Below are 22717 nucleotides of genomic sequence, written 5' to 3'. Positions count from 1 at the left end.
CCTAAATAGGTTTCCTAGATAGGAAACTATTTAGTTTATAAAGATGCAAACTTTAGGCTCTGAATATGAAACCTGAACCCTAGAAATTTTACAACAGCCACTTCATTCAGCCATGCATGCCTCCATGTATTCAAATACCTATTCATTAATTATCATCTACAAAAGCACCATGCTAGATGCTGGGGAAAAGTCCATGCTAGTGTGACACATGGTCCTCACATACATTTCAGGGTTTAAAGAACAAACTGCTGGCCAGGTGCCGTGGCTCACGCCTGTAATCCCAGCACTCTGGGAGGCTGAGGTGGGAAGATTGCTTGAGCCTAGGAGTTCGAGACCAGCCTGGGCAACGCAGTGAGACGCCCCCACCGCCCAACACATCTACAAAAACTAGAAAAAACATTAGCTGGGCATGGTAGTGGGAACCTGTTTTCCCAGCTACATGGGAGGCTGAGGCGGGAGGCTGAGGTGGGAGATCACTTAAGCCCAGGAGGTTGAGGCTGCAGCAAACTGTGATTGCAACACTGCACTCCAGCCTGAGTGACAGAGTAAGACTCTGTCTCTCTAAAAACAATAGAACAAAGTACTGAAGTAAAACATAGCTATGAGGTTTACTGTCAATCTGAAGAAAAAGCAAGAGGTGGGCTGGAGTGTAACCATATCATAAGGGCAAAGGAGGAGGAGGAGGAGAAGATGACAGCATGAACTGGCAGTGAAGTGAGCACAGAGCCTCTAGAGTTATTCAGAAACCAGCCTGGCTAAAAAACAGGGTACCTTGCGGAGCACATGACAGGTGAAACTACGTGGAGTGAAACCAGATCCATCAAGGGTCCTGAACTTCTGGGTGTAAATTCTGGGAACGTACCTCAGGGACCCTGTAGATTCAATTTAGGTTTTTCAGCAGAGAAGTGACATGCATAGTGAGATCCCAGAGAATCAACTAGATTCAAGGAAATGAGTGAAACATGCTGGTCGCAGGCAGAAGTAATGAGAACCTACAGTAAGGAATTCAGAATAAACAGGAAAAGACACTATAGATTGTCAGAGGAAGGCCATATCAGCGGGATGAAAAAGCAAAAGGTTGACTCAGGGAAGACCTCAGTGAGGAGGCAGAAGGCAAGGTCCCCAGGTGAGGTGGGCTGGGGCAGTGTGATAACAAGATTCCCTGGGGCCCCCAGTCACCTCTTGCAGAATGGTGAAGGGAATGGTTCATGCACATCAGATTTATGTCCCCTGCCACCATATGCAAGGTTGCAGATGAGGACTGATCTGAGTGAGCCACACAAGTTCAGGATGGGTGAGGATAGGGGATGGGGGCATATTCTGAGGGGAGGGGACGTGAGAGGTGTAATTTGCTCACAGGTACAACCTGGCCAGTAATGGGACTTCTCAGCAGTGGGTTGCTTATGACCTGGAATTCAGATGATGGTGGTCCAGTGACACCTTGTGAAGTTAAAAAACAAGATCAGATCATTAAAGAAAAGGGTTTGAGGAACCAACCAAGCATTGATCTTAAAGGGCTCTTCCAGCCAAGACGGTGTAGGAAAGGGTCATGAGAGATTTAAGAAAAAGAACCACCAGGAAGAAAAGGGAGAGAGGCTAAGTGGCAAAGAAGGCAATGCAGTACAAAGTTTCAAAGAGAGGGTGGTGGCTCTAAGGGCAGATGCCACAGTAAGATGGCAGGGAATGAACAAAAGACCCCTAATCTGGTTACAAAGAGACTGCTGGAAATTCTAAAGTACAATTTCAATTGAGTGGGAAGTGTTGTTTGCTCCAGGGCTACAAGCTGCAAATGCAGACCTCTCCCTTGGGTAGTTCTGGCAGTACAAGACAGAAATAGAGATCTGTAGCCAAACCAGGCTTAAAGGTAAAGAAAACAGGAGACCCCCTCACATGCGAGATAGAAAGAAGAGCACTTGTGGGTAGGGACAGACTGAAGGTGCTTTACAGGAGGGTGGAAATTGTTTCCTGCAGGTGTGTGTATAGATGACCAGTCTCAATTCCTGTTTATTAGCCAAATATTGCCTGTGGTGGCATCAACTGTAGCCCCATTATGTCAAGCAAAGTACACCCCAGATCAAAAGACAATAAGTCCAATTATAAGCATTAAATATTATTAGGCAGCAACAACGTCATAAAGGCTACAGAGTGAGACGTTGAGTCCGCTAGGTGCAGCATCTAAATGTGGCAGCAAGAATATGGGCACGCAGTGGCCAGGATTATTTTCAGAGTTGTACAGAGCACTAAATAATAAAAACAGAGGCAGCAATAGAGATGCTATTATTTATATTATTTATTCCTTTTAAAAAAGAACAGTTCCCAATGAATGTGCATGATATTGATAGCAAATTTGACCCAATATTTCTTAAAGAATTTATACTGCAATCTATTTCAATCAATTCCATTTTCTCATGGGTTGATCTGATGGATATAGATAATTACAATCCAGTCAAATAAACATCCTTGACTTCCTGAGACACACCAGGCCAATGCAGCTAAGTCTAGCTGTGTGACATAGGCATATCACCCTAACTCTGTGTCCAAGTTTCCACACCTGGAAAATGAGGATAAAAATACCCTCATCTCATAGAGTTTTTCTGAGAATCAAGTGAGGTAACACATGTAAGGAGATTAAAACAGGACTGGATAGTTTTTAATACATGCTATCATAGAAAAGCAGGAAAGCCTTTTAGCATACCAAGTGAGAGCCTGGCTCTTGAGTTAGGACTGTCTAGACTTGCATCTTGGCTCTGCCACTGAGTGTGTAACCCTGAGGCAAGTTCCTACTCAACTCTGCCCTCAGTTTCTCATCTGTAAAGTGGGGATACTAACAGTACTTATTTTATAAGGCTGTTATGTAAAGCTCTTAGAACTATGTTTTGGTACATGGAAAACACATAATAAATGTTAGGCACACTTATTCCAGAAATGGAACTTCTTATTGGCCTTCCAAATCAGTCCGGACTCACCCACTTCCTATGTATGGGAAGAGTTTCCATCATCTGCCAAACATGTTCCTACCTGACTTCCCCCTCTCGGGCAGCACATCCTAGCATTCTTTCCTTCAGAGCCCCCTCCACACACCCTGTATCCCTTCCATTCCTGCTGTTCCACTTGAGACCAGCCAACTACTTCACAGAAGTAATATCCTCTCCTAAAAGACTCCCCGCCAGCCGCCACCCACCCCACCCCAACTCATCCTCCCTCAAAACTCTGAGGTCCATCAGCCTAAAACAATATCCTTTTAACAATTCCATCCCCAGCCTCAAAACCACAACAGAGGCAGCAGCAGCTAACAGTAGCAGCTCTTACAACTTTAAAGGAACTGCCATGGGGTTAACTTCTAGCTGTTTTCCCCGGACCCAACCTGCCTCTCCTTAGGCTGACTGGCTAAGGATCCTGAGAACATTCTTCATCCGTTGTCATGCCCATCATCCCTTCTGCCTGTGTCCCTGGGACACATCTTGTCTTGTGTAAAGCCCCGCTGAAGACAGCCTCTTCATGGATGTTGTTCCCTAGCCACTCCATGTTGCGATAACCTGTCCTCACTAAATCCCACCAACAGAGGCAGCCCATCACTCATTTGCCTTGTACTGATGTTCAACTGTGTCCATATCTCCTACATCCACTCCAAGGTCTTAGATCCTGCAGGTAAGGATCCTAAATCGTACTTTTCCCTCTAGCACAGTAATAAAAACATTTTCTTCAATCCTGAACATATGAAAGAATAAAGACAGGACAGGCTCCTAAACACCCAGTCCCTATAACAGATGTCAACAGTCTACAGATCTATCCCCAAAAGATGACCCATGTCAATTCTGCTGCTCCACCAAGAAAAGCTTGGCTTCATCAAGTCAAACAGCCATGCATCCCTCCAAATAAGGGCCCTCTAAATTCAAGATCATGAGTTCATGCTTCACTTCTAGAGTTTTAAAAAATAATTAAAATAATTGCCACCAGAAGTATTCAGGGTTTTATTTTCAAAATAAATGATTTATAAACTCACATTATAAAATGAAAATAGGGCTTTTATTAGGGTGGGACTGTAATGTTTATTCTCTTTTTTAAATTGTCTTTAATATTGTTATAGTAGTCTCACAATTTTTGAAAAACAAAGTTTTTTTTAAAAGAGTAGAGGTTCGTATTAAGAGAACGCCTTTCAAAAAGGTATTCCAACTTAGCTTTGAAATTGCTCTGAAATTCCAAATTTTGAAATGTGCGTGGTAGACAGCAAGTTCTTAACAAATGTTTGTTGAATTGTGTTTTATTTACACCAGGACTTTTTGCATTAGCAAATGTACTTCCCAAATTATGTTTGGCTAAGGCTAATATTAAGAGTTGTTTTCTGTTCCCTGAACACATGTTAATTAATTAACCCAAAAAAAGGATAGGTGGCAAAACCCAACACTCTGGAGACCAACTAGCACTATAAGGAATGACGGCTTTAAGCTAGGAACTCCGGGAACTATTTATTCAGTAAATACTTATCCCAGCTACTTGGTAAGTGCTGAACCTAGAAAATGGCCTTCGCTCTCAAACAGCATAGAGGAGGAAGCGGACACTTACGAAGAGTCAACAATGCAAGATTTCAGTGATAGCTCAAAATAAAAGAAATGCCTCTGGCTTATAACCTCTTCAGGTACTTGCTATGTCTCCCTCATCACTAGCAGTATAAAATTCAACCTATATAATTGAAAGCAGAAACTCAAACCCATACTTGTACACCAATGTTCCCAGCAGTATTATTCACCATAGCCAAAAGGTGTAAACAACCCAAATGTGGTCCAATAACTTATAAAACCCAATGTGGTCCAATAACTTGGATAAAATGTGGTATATACATACAATGGAACATTACACAGCCCCCCCCCCCCACAAAAAAAAAGTAACATTCTATACATGCCACACATGAATGAACCTTGCAAACAGTATGCTAGGTCAAATGTGCCAGACAGAAAGGCATATTGTGTGATACCAGTTATATGACGTACATAGGATAGGCTAATTCACAGAGACAGAAAGTAGAACAGGTTATTAAGGTGTGGGGAGGGAGTACAGTGGGGGATGGACAGTTATTATTTAATAAGTAGAGTTTCTGTTTGGGATATGAAGAAGTTCTGGAAATGGTTAGTAGTGATGGTTACACAACATTGTGAAGATACTTGGTGCCACACAGAATTGGGACACTTAAAAATAGTACATCCTAAGTTACATGTATTTTACTGCAATTAATGTTTTAAAAACTCAACAATTCTTTAAGGCCCGGCTAAACCTAAAACCTGCCTCAGCTATCTTGACACTTTTTTATCTGATCACACTGGCCTCTATTATTAGCCTCTGTGAGCCCCTCAATGTTGTTTTAATTCATGTCATTAAAAAATTAATTGCTTCACTATTTTTATTTAGTTTTGCTATACAGTTGAGCTTATACTAAATAAGCATTGGCAGGAAAAGGTCTTTTAACTCTCTGAGTGGAAAGACCTGGAAGCTCTTATTTTAAACCACACTGACCCTGCCCAAGGCATTTTTAATGTCCAATACTATTAAGTTCTTCTCTAGTGTATCTTTGCTCTTCTGCTCACACCATGAGTCATCTGGTTTTATCCCCAAACCTGCTTATGGGAGTTGTATTCGATATTTTATTATGTATAAATTACATGTATAAAGTGCACATTATGGAAATTGGTGAAAAATGAGTGTGTGCTTATGGGGAGAAAGCTGCTAATTCTTCCATAACTAAGAAAGGCTTTATATGGGTCGCTCAACTAAAGAAAGTCTACTATTGAATTAAATGTGGGCAAACATTAGCAGATCGGAGGAGGGCCTCCAATTTACAAAAACTTGGCGTGGGTTCTGCATTTGGATTGTTTCACAAGTACTCCATTTAAGGACACAGAAATAAGGAATCACAGACTCTGCATTGTGGGTGTGGTGTATGGAAAGAATGGCAGCTCAGAACTTTCCTGAGAAAGCCCATCACTCAACCAAAACTCAAAGAAGAGGCTTTGGCCCTCCATCAAAAGATAGGCAGCTGTCCATCTCCTAGCTGTCCATTAGGCCTATTCTAGTTTTGGGGAAGCAGAGCAGGAAGAACTGTGACTGGGGCAGAGCCTGTGCGTTGTAGTTCAACTACTCTTCAGTTCACATAGTGTTTAACCACAATTCGTAAAAATAAAATATTCAAAGCATACCTGTAGTATTTTTTTAACATGTCAATTCACAGACTAGTTGAGACTGCAATTCTAGGTGCAGTGATCTGTGGAAGCAGGAGTGACCTGTTGATGGAGCTCAGGGGTTCTCCCCGGCAACTTCAGCAGTGGCTGGCCCAGGTCAACCATGACTGCAAGGTCTTTCTATCCTTCACAAAAGGCTAAAGCTCCAACAACTGGATTGATAGCTGCGGTTAAAAGTAAGGAAGTCCTTTCTAAACCTGTCCTCTTTTGGACACAAATATAAGGAACTAGACAAAATAATGGCGGGGAAGAAAACCCACCACATTAGGCCTATTCTAGTTTTGGGGAAGTAGAGCAGGAAGAACTGTGACTGGGGCAGAGCCTGTGCATTGTAGTTCAACTACTCTTCGGTTCACATAGTGTTTAACCACAATTCGTAATAAAAAAGCTAATGATTTGTATATTATACTGTTTCTGACACACTTTTATATCCCCATAGGAATAAACTGGATGAAAACCATGATGGAAGGATCCCAGTAATCGCCCACAACACCCATGAGGCTTTACAAACAAAGAGATGATACTGGAAATAGCATGCAGATGGGGGAGGGGGAGTATGAGCTCAGTGAAAACCACACAAGTCCTCAAAACACTCTTGCCCAGCAGTGGGGAGACTAAATCAACTCTGAATCACCCACATGAACCAAAGGAAGCCATGCAACAGAGAATCTCAAAAATGTCCCTGTTCTACTATGGGGAGCTCAATGCACCGTCGTCATTAAAGTCTTACCTTTCATCACGCATGTACTGTGTAACCAGAACTAGATGCTCATGGGGGAGCTCACAGCCTTGTGCAGACAAAGACATAATGCTAATGAAATAAAACATCAAGAGGTGACACACGTGCTACAGGCCTGTGCTGCCCAGAAGGACCATGAAAGGGTGTAGGGGAGAGCTGAGCCAGGAAGACTTTGTATATGTGTTTGCACGTGTATGTGTTTCTATGTGTATTCAAGGAAAAGGAAGGCGAAGACAAAGTTCTCAAAGCATGAAGGGGTGTCCAAAGCATCAGGAAAAGCTAGTCCTATGGGGACCCCAACCCAACCAAACTGTGAGCTCTCACAATCCAAAGTAAGGTCTCTGTCCAGTGCCAGGAATATACCACCTGCTAAGTGCAGGGGGAAGGAATGTCTACAGTACAGAAGATGCAAAGGGGCAGAAAGGAAAGAATGGTTAAATAATTTGTGGCATCACCCTACAGAGCAATGCTTTTTCATTGAGGATGTTTGATTGTAAGTCTTTTTTTTATTTTTTTTTTGGAGATGGGGTCTTGCTCTGTCGTCGCCCAGGCTGGAGGGCAGTGGCGCGATCTCGGCTCACTACAGCCTCTGCCTCCTGGGTTCAAGCAATTCTCCCACCTCAGCCTCTCAAGTAGCTGGGATTACAGGGGCACATAACCATACCCGGCTAATTTCTGCATTTTTAGTAGCGATGCAGTTTCACTATGTTGGCCAGTCTGGTCTCGAACTTTTGACCTCAGGTAATCCACCCGCCTCGGCCTCCCAAAGTTGATTATGAGTCTTCTTGAAGGTTGATTTCACTCAGTGGTAAATAATTTTAAACAGTCTTTCATATTGTTTTACATATTGTAATATAGAAGGTAAAATCAAATGTATTTTTTTCAGGAGGAAATAAATGAGCTTTCGAAGAAACTGAATTACTTTACAACCACATATTCCCAAATGTCCCACTCAAACCAGTGGTACCTCCAATCTTTAAAAGTAGTTCCATGGAAAAGTTTGAGAATATGCCTGGACGGATCACACTTTCTCTTAAGTTCAGATCTATCTTTAATCCAGTAATACAGAGATTAAAGCAATTATTTAGGCAGAACTCATGATTAAAATCTGCTCAGGGCCAGGAGTGGTGGCTGACACCTGTAATCTTAGCACTTTGGGAGGCCGAGGCAGGCAGATCACTTGAGTCCAGGAGTTACAGACCAGCCTAGGCAGTATGGTGAGACCACATTTCTACAAAAAATACAAAAATTAGCTGGGTGTGGTGGCACGCTCCTGTAGTCCCAGGTACTCAGGAGGCTGATGTGGGAGGATCACCTAAGCCCAAGAGGTCGAGGCTGCAGTGAGCTGAGATTGTGCCACTGCACTCCAGCCTGAGGAGTGGAGTAAGGCCCCATTTCAAGAAAAAGAAAAAACCTACTCAGGTTTAGTCATGAGGTGAATGATAGGTAACTGATTGACATCATCTCCTCCTTACCTTTCATTGTAATATTCCCATGTCCAGGCCTGAGAAACCAGTTCCTTTGGACAATGCAAATTTCTGTTTAGCTTTTAAAAATTAAAGATATGTTCTATCTGCATGCCAGGTCTCAGTACTGTATTATGTACATGATATTTAGTGATTTTACAGAATTTGGACAGTTTAAGGTTTCAAGCAATAGCACTATACCATTTAAAAATGATTAGCCATTTAAAATTCACAAAATAACAGACTTCATTACAGCATATTTAGTTTTTTTTTTTAAGTAGCTCCTTAAGTATATTTCAAGGTTGGTCTAAAGATGATGAACTAATTGACACAGGGGAATCACAGAACAGAGAAATAAAGCTAAAGCTAGAGTGTCAGTAATTAATGGCAAACAAGGCTGGATCAGTAACAAAGCAAGCACTTGTGTAACGTGTCCTTATTGATGAAATGGGAATTGAGCTCCTATCATTTGGCCTGGGAATACAAAGAAGGGGCTCACAGCCCAGTGGGGAAGACAGACTCACATAATTACCATACAATGAAGCAAGTACAGGCTAAAACAGGGCAGAGTATTATGTAGAACTGAGCTGGGAAACTAAGGCAGTGGGCAAGTGGAGAAGGCTCAGAAAAAGATTCCTAGGGCTCAAAACAAGTGATGTGTGCAGCCAGGCTGAGGGGTAGAAGAGGAGAAAGGTCTATCACTTGGGTCAGGGGAGAAGGGAGAGACATTCAAGACCAAATATCACAGAACTAGTGGAGTCAGTGCCTAGGAGTCACAAAATCATTCAGAATTGCTGCCGGTGTGAGGCTAGAGAGGGACAGAGGGCAGAACCCCCGGAGGCCTCCTCCGTCATGGTAAGGGGGTGAGCTGCAGATGTATGTTTTAGGAGGACTCCTCTGGGAGCAGTGAAGGACAGTGCAAGGGGAACAGAATTGGAGAAAGGTCAGCCAGGAGACAACCAGTCAGCGACCCAGAAAAGAGCTGATGAGGGCATCAACCAGAGGTGGTGGGATGAAGGGGAGGGGTGGCTTTATGCCAGGTGAGCCTGGGACCTTGGGTGGGCTGGCCCTGGACAGTGAAGAAGCAAGGAGAAAAATATCCCTGGTTTTGTCTTACATGATGGGGAGATGGGGTGCCAATAGATTGGAGGGGTAAAACAGATTTTGAGGCATTTGGCCCAGCAGGCAGCAGCAAAAAGGTTCTGGAAACTGGAGGCAGGAGGTGGGGTATATCCACAGATATACTCTGGAGTCTTACTGGCACACAGAGGGTGGTAGTGGTGTCCATGAAATCCCCCAGGGAGGGAGTGGAGACTACAAAGAACAGAGGGGCCAGGGAGAAATGACAAGGCCCAGGGTGGCTGAAGTAGGATAGAGATGACAATGACTCCACTGCTAAAGGAGAACCAGGAAATTCCAGATCAGACAGTGCACAGGGCCTTCTATAGAAGGTTGGTGCAAAAGTAATTGTGGTTTTTGCCATTACTTTGAATGGCAAAATAGATGGACACTAGAACCTCAGGACAAGGTAGTAGGTTGGGGAGCAGAGAAGGATGGGGAACCCACCCTCAAGTCTCCAGGGCACAGGACTGGCCACTGACAGCAGTGAGGAGAAACAATCATAGAACTCATACACTCATTAGCAATCCCAGCTGCATGTCGGAACCACCAGAGCTTTGCCCACAGTAGTCAAACCAGGATCTCTAGATGCAGGGCCTGGCAACTGGTACAGCAGAAGCAGGCCCGGCCATTGGTATGGCAGAAGTGGGACATGGAAGAAGGGAGCTTTGTCGTGCTGCCGGGGGAGCAGCAACTGTGGGGACTGGCTGGTGTCAGGGAGGAGTTTGGGGGAGGAGGTGGAGGGAGGACCCTCGGAGTCAGTGAGTGTGGGGGACAGTGCCTGATGGCAGCATGAAGACACAGGGTGCTTCCAGAAGGCTCAGAATGAAGAGTTGGGGAGATGAACATCCACAGAGGAAGATGGCAATAAAGAAAGAAGGAACTGAGGGGAGGGATAGCCAGAGGGATGACTAGAAGGGCTCCTAAGTTGACCTGCCCAGGAGCTGATGCATGTGTCCATAAGGTGCAGAAGCCCATTTTGGGCTCAAGCCCCCCTTTTTTTGGACCTACTCTTTTCAGGAGACTCTCAGTGGTACAAAGGAGCCCATGGTACATGTGGGTCCCACATTTCCAAGGACATGTGAGACGAAGTGTTTCCCAGGTTCGCCAAGGCTAGAGAGGGATGTCACACTGCACACAAAGGCACATCCTTTGCAGCGGAGGCAGTCAGGCTGCACCACCCCACCCCACCCCACCCCACCCACACACCTCTGTGTGGGCGTTCAACCTGGGTGGATTCACCTGTGGTTTGGGCCCTTCCTGCCTCTGCTACTGAGTAGTTTCCTCCTCAGGGCCAAGTCAGCCCTTCAGTTTTCTGCCTTAAACCACACGGACATAGTGCCAAGGTATCATTTGTGCCGATCCCACCTTTCCTGTAGCATTTTCATGTTCTGCTTTTCTGTCTTTTATTTTTGTGATCTCTGGGCAAATCAGACAGACTTCATTCTCTGCAATGAAGCATTTCCCCACTCAGATTCCTCAACATTGCCCAGCTGGGAGATTCATTTTAGTGCAACCCTCACCTTGACTCATTCCTTCCACCAGTTCCCAATTCACAAGCGTGCCACCTGGTGGCAAAAGAAGATGCCCTTGGGCTGCTTCTGCTTTTTGAACAGCACTCCCAAGATAGAGAACATGTTAAATGTTCTGTGTGCTTCTAAGGAAACTTACTAAGAGGACCCAGCAGCAACGACTCAAGCTTCCAGTGAGTGTGTTTTAGAGACAGGACATCTGTCAAAGCTTTTCTCAGGCTGGAGAAGACAAGCAAAATTATTAAATGTTTGGTGTCTGTTAAATATTTAATATTTGTATATATTAGATGAAATGTATAAATGCATACTTTTGCAGGTAGTTACACTTGGGTTTTGGGGGTTTTGTCTTCCCCACCCCCCCACCTTTTGGTGGAGAACGAGGTCTCACTATGTTGCCCAGGCAGATCTCGAACTCCTGGGCTCACGCTATTCTCCTGCCTCTGCCTTCCTAAGTGCTGGAATTACAGGTGTGAGCCACCGCGCCCGGCCATAACTGCATACTTTTGCTCTTAAGCAATTAGTGAAGGATGTGAAGGGGAAAATATATACTGGTAGAGACATAGCAGTTCTGGATTCTAAATCATTAGGCAAGTTACTTAGGTTCTCTAGGCCTTGTTTTTCTCATTTGACAAAGTAAAGAGTCTAAAGCCACTAACAATTCTAAGATCTGTAATTAAATGCTTAGAAGAAATAAATGCTGAGGTGATGGGATAACCCCAATTATCCTGATTTAATCATCCTACATTGTATGTTTGGAATTAAACACATAGGCCCCATCGGAAGGTTAAGACAGGCCGGGCACAGTAGCTCACACCTGTAATCCCAGCACTGTGGGAAGCTGAGGCGGGAGGATCACTTGAGACCAGGAGTTTGAGACCAGCATGGTCAATATGGTGAAACCCCGTCTCTACTAAAAATACAAAATTTAGCCAGGTGTGGTGTAGCATGCCTGTAATCCCAGCTACTCAGGAGGCTGAGGCACAAGAATCGTTTGAACCAGGGAGGCAGAGGTTGCAGTGAGCCGAGATTGCGTCACTGCACTCCAGCTCGGGTGACGGGGCGAGACTCTGTCTTCTAAAAAAAAAAAAAAAAACGGTCAAGACAAAGAAATATCGGCCGGGCGCAGTGGCTCACATCTGTAATCCCAGCACTTTGGGAGGCCGAGGCAGATGGATCACTTGAGGTTAGGAGTTCAAGACCAGTCTTGGCCAATATGCTGAAACCCTGTCTCTACTAAAAATACCAAAAAAATTAGCCGGATATGGTGACATGTGCCTGTAATCTCAGCTTAGGAGGCTGAGGGAGGAGGATCACTTGAACCTGGGAGGTGGAGGTTACAGTGAGCCAAGACTGTGCCACTTCACTCTAGCCTGGGAAATAGAGCAAGACTCCACCTCAAAAAAAAAAGAAAAAAAAGACAAAGAAATCTCTTACATTAATAAAAATTCAGTGCTTGGGCCAGGCACGGTGGCCCATGCCTTTAATCCCAGAAATTTGGGAGGTCAAGGCGGGAGGATTGCTTACCCAGGAGCTCAAGACCAGCTTGTGCAATGTGGCTAAACATCATCTCTGCAAAAAATACAAAAATTAGTCAGGCATGGTGGCATGTGCCTGTACTCCCAGCTCCTTGGGAGGCTAAGGTGGGAGGATCGCTTGAGCCCAGGAAGTTGAGGCTGCAGTGAGCTGTGATCGTGCCACTACACTCCAGCCTGGGAGACAAAGAGAGATCCAGTCTCAAAAAAAAAAAAAAAAAGAAAATTCAGTTCTTGTACATAGAAAGCACTCAAATGTTTGTGGCAAGAATGAATAGCAGTGATTCTCTTATAATATAAATATATAACTAAACATCTACTTTGTTTTTGTTTGTTTTTGAGATGGAGTCTCGCTTTCCCAGGCTGGAATGAAGTGGCACGATCTCGGCTCACTGCAACCTCCGCCACCATGCCCAGCTAATTTTTGTATTTTTAGTAGAGTCAGGTTTTCGCCACGTTGGCCAGGCTGATCTCGAACTCCTGGCCTCAGGTGATCCACCCGACTTGGCCTCTCAAAGTGCTAGGATTACAGGTGTGAGCCACCATGCCAGGCCTACTTTGTTTTTATACTACTCTTTGGACACAGAATTAGAATAAGGACCTAAACATGAAATTTGACTTACGGCTCTGACATCTTATAATTAACTATGAAGATGCAAGTATCATTCGACACTCAAAGACGGACCTTTCTCAGCTAATTATGTGGTCAGACTTCTCCTAGATACACACACCTTACCAGCAGCAAAGACCTTCATAGGACTACTTAATATATTCTCTTCTCACTCACTCATCCTAACAAAAATACAACCTAATGCTTGAGGAAAGACCTCCCCTTTTGATCTCAGAGACAGACTAAGAGGAAACCTTTCTCTGCCATTATGAAGTCAGTCTTTGGGGAGTTGGATAAGGTCTGGATGTGACAAGCAAAATATACTGGGATCCATCCCTGAGCAGAAAGGAGGAACTTTCTCATTTCCAGTGGGTTCTTCCCAACAGCCCAGCACAGTCCCCCGTTTCCCCGCACCCCCCACCCCATCCCCGCTGCCGTAAATATGTAGATTTCTGTGTTTTGATTTCTGGAAAGCACATATTGAAACATGAACCAGAAAAGCACTAAGGATTGGAATCCAATAAACACCAGAACAAGGCCCTCACCATCTGTGAAGTTTGGGGTCGGGGTAGCGAGCTCGTCCCTTCTTTGAACATTTTCTTCCTTCACTTAAAGAACAATTCAGAACAAAGTAAAAAGAAACAGGTCAAAAGAGCATGGCAAAGGTCAGCCACACTAGTCAAAGACTTCACCCCCCCAAGACCTAGGACATACAAAAGGGAGCCCTGGTGCAGTCTCACCTCCGAGCAGATCCTCCTGGCTGCACACTCCACAAACAGATGGGCATCACCAGATTCTTGCAACAAGATCCTGCAGGAGGACCTGACAAGTGCAAACTGCCTTCATGTTAGCACTGTCCTGGACAGGTGTGGGTGTGGGCGAGTGTGAGCTAGGCGCTCCAATATTCACTAATCACCAAATTTCCTCCTATCAGGAAACTCAAGCTTCTGCAAAATGTCAATTCCCTGCAGGCTCAGGAGGGGAAATGGAGTTTTGAGGAAGACAAATAAGGCCGGCACGGTGGCTCATACCTGTAATCCCAGCACTTTGGGAGGCCGGGGCATGTGGATCACCTGAGGTCAAGAGTTCGAGACCAGCCTGCCCAACACCGTGAAACCTCATCTCTACCTAAAATATAAAAAATTAGCCGGGCGTGGTGGCGGGCGCCTGTAGTCCCAGCTACTCGGCAGGCTGAGGCAGGAGAATCGCTTGAACTGGGGAGGCGGAGGTTGCAGTGAGCAGAGATCATGCCACTGCATTCTAGCCTGGGCAACAAGAGCAAAACTCCTTCTCATTAAAAAAAAAAAAAAAAAAAAGGACGAATGAAAACTTCAAGACATAAAAAAGTGTGACAACCCTAAACTCTAGTTCTAACTTATGGCATCTAATTTGAATGATATCAAATGAAACACAGATAAGTGAGAGGCTGATTAACATTTATACATACACATATGCCTATCTGTGTGCATGTGTATATATACACATATATCTGGCAACTGGGGCATTTAAGAAATGTTTTACTATGGTAAAATATACATGACATAAGATTTACCATTTTAACCTTGCAAGTATACAGTTCAGTGGCATTAAGTACATTCACATTGTTGTACGGCCATCACCATTATCCATTTCCAGAACTTTTTCATCATCCCAAACAGAAATATTGCATAATGACTCACCATTCTCTGCTCCCTCCAACCCCTGATCAACATGATTCTACTTTCTGTCTGGATGAATTTCATTATTCTAGGTACCTCATATAAGTGGAATCACACACTATTTGTCCTTTTGTCTCTTGCTTGTTTAACTCAATATAAGGTCTGCAAGGTTCATCTATGTTGTATCATTTGTAAAAGTTGACTTCCCTTTTAAGGCTGAATAATAGTCCACTGTGTATATGCTATATTTTTGTTTATCCATTCGTCTTGACATTTTATTAATATTATTTCCCTAAGGCATTTTTAAAACCTGTCTTCAATTATGATCTACATTTTATAAAGGCCTGATTTTCTAGCTCTTAAAAATGCTATAAATTATACTTGACTCAGATACTTAAGCTAATTTTCATTATAATGGGTAAATCAGTACATTTTGCTAGTGAACATACTCTGAAATCCTGCTTTAATGGGCCTGTCAAATAGGGAAAATTGCACCTTCCCCTCCATCCCACACTGAACAGACAGGACATTTTTCCTTCTATTTCCACTTTCAAAAATGTCACTTTATAGCCATAGGGATGGTTTATACCAAAGGAAGTAAAAACAAATTATTAATAAGAAAAACAAGTTTTATCTGAGGCCATTGCTAGAAAAAAGGTTACTGCCCTTGATAACTGTTCTGCAGATAGACTTCAATTACCAGCAGCAGAACAGTTCACCTACAGCTCCGGATAACAAGCAGAGGCAAATCTCCTTTCTCCCCTCTCTGGAGTTGGTAGAAACATTCAGGGAGCCCCTTTTCACTTGCCTTTGTGTTACCCTGCCACAGAGGAGGATCTGTTTTTTAAGTGCTAGAGAGAGCCAATTTCCAGGAAGGCAGTGCATGTGTTTCAGAATATGAGTTTAATTTAAAGGGCTCACAAGTGAGCAGCTCACAGTGTCACTCCTTGGAGCAGGGCCCTCAGCTCTAGAGGGACAAGGTAAAGGCTGCACTTGGGTGGAGGCAGAGGAACTCACCCTGGGTGGCCTCAGTGTTTCTCATAGAATAATACAAGGCTGTCTCCTTCAGTGAGTCTTCAAGGGGGCACAGCAAAGGTGGGGGAGGGGGTCATGTTAGCAACTTACTCTCAAATGGTTCAGAAAAAAATATGTATATAAAACAAAATACATGTGGCAAAATGTTAACAACTGGTGTACTGGAGTTCTCTGTACTAATCTTGCAATTTTCCTTTAAGTTTGAAATTATTTCCAAAAAAGGAGCTTTAAAACAAAAAGTGGGTCCAGCTTTGTAACTTTACTCAGCAATATTGGAAAGTTTAGAAGGAGGATCAGACACTGGAAATTAAGGTGCTTCTCTGAGCTTGGGTGAGCAGATGAAAACAAGAGGAATATTATGAAAACAGGTGTGGGTTTTGGAGTCAGACATGCATGGATTGCAATGTGAGACTTTGGGAAAACTCATTTGACCTCTACAAACTTCAGTTTTGACATCTATAGGGGTAAAATAGGTCAGAATCTCCATCTTCAAATCCTTTAAATGCTTTATACTCAAATAAAATGGTCCTGTTGTTACTACTACTATAATTACTGCACTTGACAGCAAGAAGAGAAGAGAAGGGGGTAAGGCAACGTGAAGGAGCAGGGAGACAGCCTCACAGGGATTGGGGGAGGGAGGGAGGGAGGGAGGGAGGGAAGGAAGGAAGGAAGGAAGGAAGGAAGGAAGGAAGGAAGGAAGGAAGGAAGGAAGGAAGGAGCGAGCCAGCCATGGAATGCATTGAAGCTATGAAGAAAAATGGCAGCTGATGAAGATGAAGGAAACAGACAACATAGGTTATCAAAGCACAAAATTATAGTTCTTCCTGCTATCAACACTCCTGGCAGATGGTAGCTACGGTATTCTGACAGTGAGTGAGGAATTGTGTTTATAATTTTTCCCAAATTTACTGTGTTTTATTACATTCACTTAATCTAGCAGACGTTTACGATAGGTATAAGAGAATATGTTGAGCCTCAAATGTAAAAAACAAAAACCACACATCAATCAACGTGCAAATAAAATAGTGAACAGATTACCAGTTCCTCTATCAAAAGCAACATTCCCATTAAGCACGTCAGCCTCTTTACCCTCTAGGTCTTGAAACCCCAATCTTTCACAAAACATGAGCCCTCATTCTCAATATATGTATTTTTATAAGCTATTGTCAAGCTTTCTATTAAATCAGCAAGGCTGAGTTTCTTATTTTAGACAAATGTCCCAATGTTGCACAGCTGTTGCTTCTGAAGGGCAACTTCCATGCCTTTACCTTCTAGAATAGGAATAAAAAACACTGGCTTCAACCAGGCCAAAGTAAATTGACTAAAAGGCAAAGGAGTGCGTATCTTCTAACAAATAGATTTGGAAGTGGGTGGGAAGAAACACAACCCACAACCCCCAGCCTGCCATCAACTTCTGTGACAGAAGGAGGCAGTGTTTCTTGGAAGCCCCGAGGAAAGAGGAGGCAAGAGTCACTTTCCCTGAAAACCTTCCGGGGCCACCTTTACTCCAGGCTGCTGGCTTCTGACCCATGTATTATGAATGTCTGCAAAAGCAAAGGAGTTCTTCCTTCCCCATATCCCTGAAATACTGATACTCAAGAACTTCTCTCTAGTGTCCCACAGGGCAGACCCCAAGTTAGAACCAAGTTATGAAATTTCGCTGCCACAGTGCCAGGGACCTGCCTTTCCCATAGTAGAATGAGATGGTGGTGGCAAATGCTCCTGGGACGAGGGTGGGGATGAGAGTGGGGATGGGGGCGGGAGGGATGGAGGGGTCTAAAGCTCAGGTGACACCTCAATCAAAATGTAATATATTAACCAGCCCATGTGTCCTAACAACAAAGATGAGGACTGCTCCACCATTCATTCATCCAATAATAAAGCTTGCTGTGTGCTGGGCCCTTGGGACAGTCAAGAGGGCAAGAATTCCCCACCCCTCACCCATAGAGTTTATATTTAACTCCACATCAGCAATAAACCAATAATTATACAATTAGGTAATTACAATGTGATAAGTTCGAACAAGCACGCTGTACAATGAGGGCTGATCTGACCTACCCTGGGAGGTCAGAGAAGATTGCAAAGGACGGGTGGGAGCTGGGCTGTGAAGTGCACTAGGAGGCCAGGGAGAAGCATGAGGCCCCTGGCAGTGGACAGAAGGGCAGCTCCTGCAGAGGCCACAGATGGGTGGATAGGAGCTGGACACCTTTGGGGGTGCAGCGTGCACTCCACAGCCAACAATGAGGCAAGTGCTGTGTGCAAAATGGAGATCAAAAGGAGATACTGGAGGCTTGAAAGGGATCTACGGAGACAGACTTTATTCCAAGAGCACTGGGCAGTCTCTGACAGGTTTTAATCAGGGTAGGACACAATCGTATTTGTCCTCTGAAAATACCACTCTTCCCCTGCTCCCTCCACCCATGCAGGTTTCTCGAAGCCTCTACTGCAGCACTGTCCCATGGTACTCCAGTTGTCTGTTTTCCTGTCTGGACTAACCGAAACTCATATCTATCTTTCTTAGTCTGACACAAGGAGAACTGAGAATTGCACCCTGGTCTGACGTTCTGACATTAAGAGAATTGAAGAATCCACGAGGGCTTTAACTTTTTAACTAGCACAGCCTGACAGCTGTGACAAAGCCCAGTAATTTTTACACTCAAGGCCAGTGGTTCTCAAACTTTCGCCTGCAGCAGAATCACCTGGAGAGCTTGTTAAAACAGATGGCTGGGCCCTGCTCTCAGAGTTTCCAACTCAGCAGGTTCTTGGGTGGGGGCGGAGAGTTTGCATTTCTAACAAGTCCCAGGTGATCCTGATGCTGCTGGTCCAGACCACACTCGGGAACCCAGCTACCACAAGAAACTCAGGGCATTAGCGCAGCAAACAATTTTACCAGGATCTGTATCTTGGAACTCAAAGCAAACCTGCAAAAACAGATTTTCTTGAGTGAGCAAATCTGCCTGGCTTTTACACCTAGAAATCGGCCTAGCACTGGGTCCCCCTGACAAGCTTTGGCAGCCAGTCGGGCACAGATTTCTCGAATCCCCAAGCTTTAGAAGTGGGAAATGTTGCAGAATTCTCCAGTCACAGCTACGGGACTCCAGAATAGTGACACCGGGTGGCAAATACAACTTCTGCAGCACATCAGACCTCAATCTGGTGCACTACATCTGAGAGCCCGGAGCCCACATCCACAGCCCATACTAATCCAGTGAGATCCTCTGAGCTGCCATTTGTAGTGAGTGAAAAACAGCAAATATCCTCCCTGGACAGTCTGTGTTCTTCCACACAGCCCTGTAAAATACCAGATATTTCTTGGTGAGTAGTCAGATACCATTCACCAATTTTCTAAATTGCTAATCAGATAATTGCTGCAATAGTTAATTCTGCAGCCATTCTACATTTGAATAAGCAAAACAGAAAATAATTAGGCCAAAACAATCACATTGGTTTAAAAGCACACTAATGGACAAAATTGGTTTATTCAAATTTGTTTCAACATTCATCAGAACGCTTGCTGGTCAATTTGCTTAATGAGTATTCACTTTTCCCTTAATTTTTCTTGGGTGACATTCACTTAGAGCAATACATTAAGCCTGTTTCCCTTTGCAAAGAATTCTTAACGACCAGCCCTGTGTTTGAAATTACTTCTTCTCAATCTTTTTGTGGAAAACAAGAGGAAATGTCTAAAAACAATCTTACTCTATCTTCCAGAATTTAAATAACAAAAGTTTCCAGTATGTCTATTGAGAAATCTGTCCTTATTCTTCATATGGCTTTAGGATAATGGCCATTCCCAAAAGCAGAGGGGTAAGAGGTCAATTCTAAAATTGTAACCTTTTAGTAGGTAATTTAAATCAATGGCCAATTGGAGGAAAACTCAGGTTGGAGGAAGGAAATTTAGTATTTCTGGAAATCTAAATTAATATCATGTCAATCCCTAGCAGCATTTTTTCCAGAAATGATTATAATTAGAGATATGCAAATTTTTCAGTGGGGGAAAAAATCAGAGGAAAATACACCTAATTAAGAAATGCTGTTATCTTTATTAGATGATATTAAGTATAAATGTGATTTAATACTTTTAAAACTGTAAAATAGCACTCTCTCCTTCAGAACTCAAGGAATCTCACACCAAACAAATAATGACAAAAGCATGTCAGTTCTTATAAATTTTTCTCAGAAATAATAGCTCAGCAGTGAGTTTCCTGGCACTCGGATGATTTCAGCCACTATATTTTCTCATAAACAATAAGCTTAGAAAGCTAATGTTAGGTAGGCCATACAGTGTTCATTTCCATAGTAATCAGTTTTCAGATAGTTACAAATTTTTAATAACTTATTTTGGAAGCAAATCATTTTGAAAAGCAGCTACCTCTGAGTTGAGATTTCAAGACAGGACTTTATCCAGATTTCATTGACCCAAAGGTTGCCAAATTTTGTGTTAAAATGTCAATATAGATTCTGGGAAGATGGTGGTGGCAGCATAATTATTGACTCTCCCCAACCATAAAAACTGACAGAGAGCAGACTCAAAAACCATGGACAACATCCACAACAACTCTAGATGACAAACTACCATCAGCTACAGGAACCACTATCAGGCACTCACTGGAAAGCTCAGAGGGTCATCCTGAGAGTAGACAGAGAAAAAAGTTCCAGTTTAATTAGTGAGTGCGGAGAGGGCTGTGCCACCTGTATGTCCAATGTGCCAGAATGTTCTGGAGTGGGAGGGGTCTGACTCCTATGAATTAGCAAGCCAAGGCAAAGCCCCACACTGGGGAGAAGCTGCTGGGGATGAGATCTAAGATGAGGAAATAGGGGCAAAGGTAAGGGAAAGTCTGGGCAGGTAAGCAGTGTGGGTAGGGACAAAAAAAAAGTCTTAGGATATAGGAAAGTAGAGTTCATATTTTTATTACCACTTTATGAAAACAACTATGAGGCCGGGCACGGTGGCTCATGCCTGTAATCCTGGCACTTTGGGAGGCCAAGGCGGCTGAATTGCCTGAGCTCAGGAGTTCAAGACCAGTCTGGCCAACATGGTGAAACCCTGTCTCTACTAAAAATACAAAAAATTAGCTGGGCGTGGTGGCACATGCCTATAATCCCAGCTACTCGGGAGGCTGAGGCACGAGAATCACTTGAACTAGGGAGGCAGAGCAAGACTCTGTCTCAAAAATAAAATAAAATAAAATGAAAACAACTAACAGAGTCTCCTAAATCTCTGATGCTAGGAAATCTACACTGGCCCTCCTAAAAGTATAGGAAAACTCGGTTAACAACAGAAAAGAATCCAGTTGAATTCCACATAGTTATTTTTAAAGAAAAACTAAGGAGCAGAATGACATCCATCGTGTAAACAATAAAATCACGCCAGAAGGGCACAAAGGAAAGCTATGACCTAATATTTCAGAAGGAGCCAAGAGAAATTAACTAAATGAAAGAAGCTATGAAGAACAGCATAAATCAGAATTTTTAAAACTCAGAAATGAGTTGATTGAAGAAAATGAAGATTTAAAAATGGAGGCAAAAGAACTAAGAATTAAAAATAAAGAAAATAATCATTTCAGAAATGACAGGTAAAGACAACACGAGAGCAAATAAAAATGAACAGTGTCTTAAATGAACCAGAAGACGGAAAGGAGGAAAATTTTTCAATTCAAATGAATTATGACGCGGTTAAAAGGATTTGAGAGAAAGTGGCAGATACAGAATACAGGCTAAGAAGGTCTAACATGAATAATGGGAGTTCCTAAAGCCAACAAAGATCAGAACAAATGGTAAATGAAATCTTTATTGGAGAGGAAATAAAAAAGAACTCTTAAAATTACACATTAAAGCAGCGAGCACATTGTGTCTATGGAAAAAAAATAATCAACCTACAGCAGCCAATACTATAAAACTAACTAGTGGGCTTTAAAGAATAAAGGTGGAAAAACATTCCTTTGGGTATCTAGGCAAACATACCAAGTTAAATTTGAGGGATAGAAAATAAGATTATCATCAGATTTTGACGCCACTTTATGGCAAAATGCAATACAGTAAAATAATAAAGGTATCCAAGCAAAGATAAGATGGGCCAGCAATTTTATACTAGCCAACCTGACCTTTAAATATACAGACTACACACTCGCCGTTGTGGACATATAATTCAGGAACTACTTCCCATAAGGCATCTATTAGAGGGTGCGTTTCAGAAAACCAAAATGCCAGGAAAGCCATGATATAAAGACTGGCCGCCAGCATTAAACAGATATTTACCTGTAGAGCTAAGACTAAATGATGGTAACAAGGGAGACAGCAGAGTATATAATTGCTGTATGCTCTGAAAAATGAGTATAGCCATCAGAAAAATGGGGAATAGGTGAAGTTCCGAAAAGTAGAATATGCTTGCTGATTGCCTTTTAGATATTAACTGGAAGTAAAAGAATATTACTTCCAATCCCCAGCTCAGGAGAGTAAAGAGAGAGCAAAGAACAAACGCTGGCTAATTTAAATATTATGGTAGCAACAATGGAAAATAGCCCCCACAAAAACAGCAGACAAGGGTATTATAGAAAGGTATCAGTCTGAAGGCAACCATTAAAACCAAAAATACAAATCTAGCAAAAAATATGAATCTTCACAAATACCCAAAGGTACACCAAAAAGAGAAAGCAGAACAAGAGAACACACCACTTACACAGTACCCTCATTAAAAAAAAAATCAAACTGAGTATGATCAAACGTCTAAGTCACCAATTTACAGGAAATATTCAAAATGGTACAGGTGAAGACCAAGGAATGCAATCAGAATGAA

At 43.0% G+C, this 22717-nt stretch overlaps 1 protein-coding gene across 8 annotated transcripts in view, besides 1 other annotated feature; it reads right to left on the bottom strand.

Annotated features, from left to right (window-relative positions):
- The window catches only part of KIT (KIT proto-oncogene, receptor tyrosine kinase), an 82759-nt gene that overhangs the window by 45786 nt on the left and 14256 nt on the right, over positions 1–22717 (bottom strand). The window lies entirely within an intron of this gene.
- Positions 6358–6427: an enhancer, noted in NCBI's record as "active region_21573". NCBI's record gives its function as "activates an Ori minimal core promoter by ATAC-STARR-seq in GM12878 lymphoblastoid cells {active_cell/tissue: GM12878}" and the evidence as "EXISTENCE:reporter gene assay evidence [ECO:0000049][PMID:35858748]".

Source organism: Homo sapiens, chromosome 4, assembly GCF_000001405.40.
Source record: "Homo sapiens chromosome 4, GRCh38.p14 Primary Assembly".
Taxonomy (NCBI): Eukaryota; Metazoa; Chordata; class Mammalia; order Primates; family Hominidae; genus Homo; species Homo sapiens.
Note: the sequence above shows the minus strand (reverse complement) of the source record. Positions and strands in the feature narration are given on the sequence as shown.